This window comes from Homo sapiens, chromosome 9 (assembly GCF_000001405.40).
Source record: "Homo sapiens chromosome 9, GRCh38.p14 Primary Assembly".
NCBI classification, from domain to species: domain Eukaryota; kingdom Metazoa; phylum Chordata; class Mammalia; order Primates; family Hominidae; genus Homo; species Homo sapiens.
In genome coordinates, this window is record NC_000009.12 from 31,615,045 (window position 1) to 31,618,347 (window position 3,303).

The 3,303-nt window shown below is 36.2% G+C and overlaps 2 annotated features.

Moving 5' to 3' along the window:
* Positions 880–1,409: an enhancer, noted in NCBI's record as "NANOG hESC enhancer chr9:31615922-31616451 (GRCh37/hg19 assembly coordinates)". NCBI's record gives its function as "activates a minimal SCP1, AML or CMV promoter by ChIP-STARR-seq in naive H9 embryonic stem cells {active_cell/tissue: H9 hESC(naive)}" and the evidence as "EXISTENCE:reporter gene assay evidence [ECO:0000049][PMID:30033119]".
* Positions 2,233–2,765: an enhancer, noted in NCBI's record as "OCT4-NANOG hESC enhancer chr9:31617275-31617807 (GRCh37/hg19 assembly coordinates)". NCBI's record gives its function as "activates a minimal SCP1, AML or CMV promoter by ChIP-STARR-seq in naive H9 embryonic stem cells {active_cell/tissue: H9 hESC(naive)}" and the evidence as "EXISTENCE:reporter gene assay evidence [ECO:0000049][PMID:30033119]".

Genomic DNA, 3,303 nt, shown 5'->3' on the forward strand with positions numbered 1-3,303 from the left:
CGTAGCCTCCAATTAAGTATCCATTGTGAACATTACTAATCTGTCACAAGAGTTTCCCACTGAAATGGCAAGAATATCCATCTCAACACAGAGATCCAGATAGATACTCTTAATGATTACATATGCCATGTGGAGTGAAAAGAAAACACCTGCTGTGGAATGCTTTATTTTCTCATTGATAGATAAGGAATCTGCGAGGTAAAGAGTAAATACTTTGGAAAGAAGACAGAACTAGTAAGTGACTGAAATGAAATTTGAATTTCCTTCTGTATAAATTCAAAACCTTTGCTCTGTCTAGCCTACCACATTATGTTTAAAAGAAAACATAATAAAATCTATTAAAATTAGAATATTTCACATATTCCAACAGAGCACTGTCTCTGGTTTCAGAAAGAATGGGTTCATATACTATCTTTGTCACTCATTGTTTCTGTGAGCTGGACATGGTTACTCAGGTTCTCTCTGCTCAGTCTCCTCATCTGTAAAATAGGGTAACTAATACCTATGTAATTGTACTTTTATGAGGAGTGAATGAGATAACACATGTGAATGCTTAGTCCATCACCTAATACCTAGTAACTACACATTAGAAGTTAGCATAAATCATTTTTATTGTCACCTGCTGCACTGCATGAATGAAACTATGACTATAATGCAAATAATAAGATGGAAATTATTATTGTAAACTATAATTATGATGTGTCAATTACTCATCTCAAGGAATAGAGCCAGTTAAGCATCATGAATATTTTTTCTCGCATTGATACCAAACATAATTGTCTTCCATAAGTGCCCATTCCTATATTCCATGGCCCATTGAAATACTTTGTAAAAGTCCTATACTTCTAACAGAACTTATGGTAATATATAACTAGATAATGTAATTCATCATGCATAATGCAAGCCTAATTTGTTTGAAAAGCTGAAGAGTTTTATTTTATGGGGAATCACTATAAGCTGATAAGAAATGAAGATAGAAGCAGATTATCTTTTCTCTTGCTTTGACCAGTCAGAATAACTGTCAGTGTTGTGTAAATTCAAGAGAGGCTGTTGGCAATGTAGTGGTGAGCGCTGCAGGGGATGGCAGCCATTAAGAGAAAAGCAGAGGTGGTGCTGAGAAATTAGAATGAGAAACTAAGCATCAGGATCTCCCAAGAGGTATGCAGTAGTCATTCAATGGGAAGGCAAGAGATCAGACATTCACAGCACGGGGATCTGTACTACCACGCTGTGCTCTGCACTTTCGAAGGAGCCTATTAAATGACAAGGGTAACACTGGAAAATACTAAAATCTCACCAAAATGCCTGTCATCTAGTGTTGAAATATAGCCTCATGGATGTAAGCTTCTACCATCTAAAGAAGCTACAGGGGCACATTACAAGTCAGGAGTCCATCTAAAAGTACCCTGGGAATTCTCACAACCATGAGCAGAATTCTTAGAAGGGGAGAATTAAGCTCCATTTGTTTTCACTTTCATGCAGTTATTTTTTTTTAACTTTTGAGGAAATTGCTACTGCTGTCAGTGCATAACAATAAAGGACAGTATAGACGAAGGGTTAAACAAAGAAAAACTGTCAAGCAGCACTAAAGGTGATTCTTCCTAAAAAGGTAATATATCAGGTCAGAAACAGAGTTGTTAGACTCATTTTCCAGATAGGAAAATTAAAGTCCTGAGAAGTGACATGATTTGCACAGTTAGTGGCAGAGGTGACACTGAATGTCCAGTGTTACTTTTGGCTTTAAAATGTCACACCAGTGCCATATGTACCTTATCCTTTGACTCAGTGTGGTATGCCAACTTCCAAGATGGCCCCCAAGATTCTCACCCCATCATGAAACAAATCATCTTCCAGTTATTCAGTCAAACACTAGTCTAGATAATACTGCTGTGAAGGTCCCAATCAGTTAACATTAAGATAGGGAGATTATCCTCAGTGGGCTTGCCCAAATCAGTTGAGCCCTTAAAAAGACTGGACTTTTCCTGGCAAGAAAAATTTGAAGCATAAGGAAAATCTGATATGAGAAAGTGGTATGGACTAAATTGTGTACCCCTGAAGTTTATATGTTGAAACTCTAACCCCCAATGTGACTGTATTTAGAGACAGGTTCTATAATGAAATAATAAAGACTAAATGGGGTCATAAAGGTGGGGTCTGGTGTCTTTATAAGAAGCAGAAGAGGTACTCCTCTCTTTGTAAGCACACAGAGGAAAGATCATGTGAGTACACAGCAAGAAGGTGGCTGTCTACAAGTCAGGAAGAGAGGCCTCACCAGAAACCTACCCTGACAGCACCTTGACCATGGACTTCTAGTCTCCAGAATAGTGAGAAAATAATTTTTAGTCAATTAAGCCACCTAGTCCATGGTATGTTACAGCAGCCTGGGAAAACTAATACAGGAAGATTCTCCATTGCTCAGTTTTGGAGATTGAGAGGGTCATGCGACAAAGAATGTGGAAAGTGGCCACCAGCTGAGAGCCATCAAGGAAACAGGGACCTCAATCCTACAGCTGAAAGAAACTGAATTAAGATTCAACTATGTGAGCTTGGAAGACAACTTCAGGTTTCAGATGAGGACACAGCCAGCTGACACCTTGATTTCAGCCTTGTGAGAACCCAAACAGAGAATTCATGCCAATGCTCAGACTTCAGCCATTCAGAATTGGGAGCTTTTAATAAAGGGATCTTGTTTTAAGCTGCTAAATTGGTGAGTATGTTTTACAAAATGACAGAAAACTAATACATCCAATAATATTAGTTCTAAAATTTGACATTTAGGAAGTAATCAGAGTTATAGACAAAAGTATATATTTCATGAAATGTTTTCAAAATAGTAAGAAGTTGAAAACCTTCATGTCCAATAAGAGGTTAATTGCATTGCTTATGGCCTCTCCAGATGATGAAATATTCCATGGCCATTAAAAGGTATGTGGAAACAACACCATGAGAAATGTAGAAAATGAATAATGTGATATTTATAGTTACATATTTATATATGTACTAAATATGCAAATATTAAATATACATATATAAATTTTTACATTTTAAGACTAATAAAGGTTAGCTCTAATAGAATTAGAAACTATTGATTTGGACTATTTTTTGTGTGTGTTCTTTTTTATTCATCAATTCTTCTAAAATAGTAGTTATTATTTGCAATAAAAAGAGAACAATAATAAATTGCATTTTTGAATGCTACCTCCACTGGAAATACTGTTTTATATTTCTGTAATCCCAAAGAAGACAGATCCAGAGATACTTTTAAATGGGTTGCCCGATATTATTTTGGAGAGAAGCTTCTTT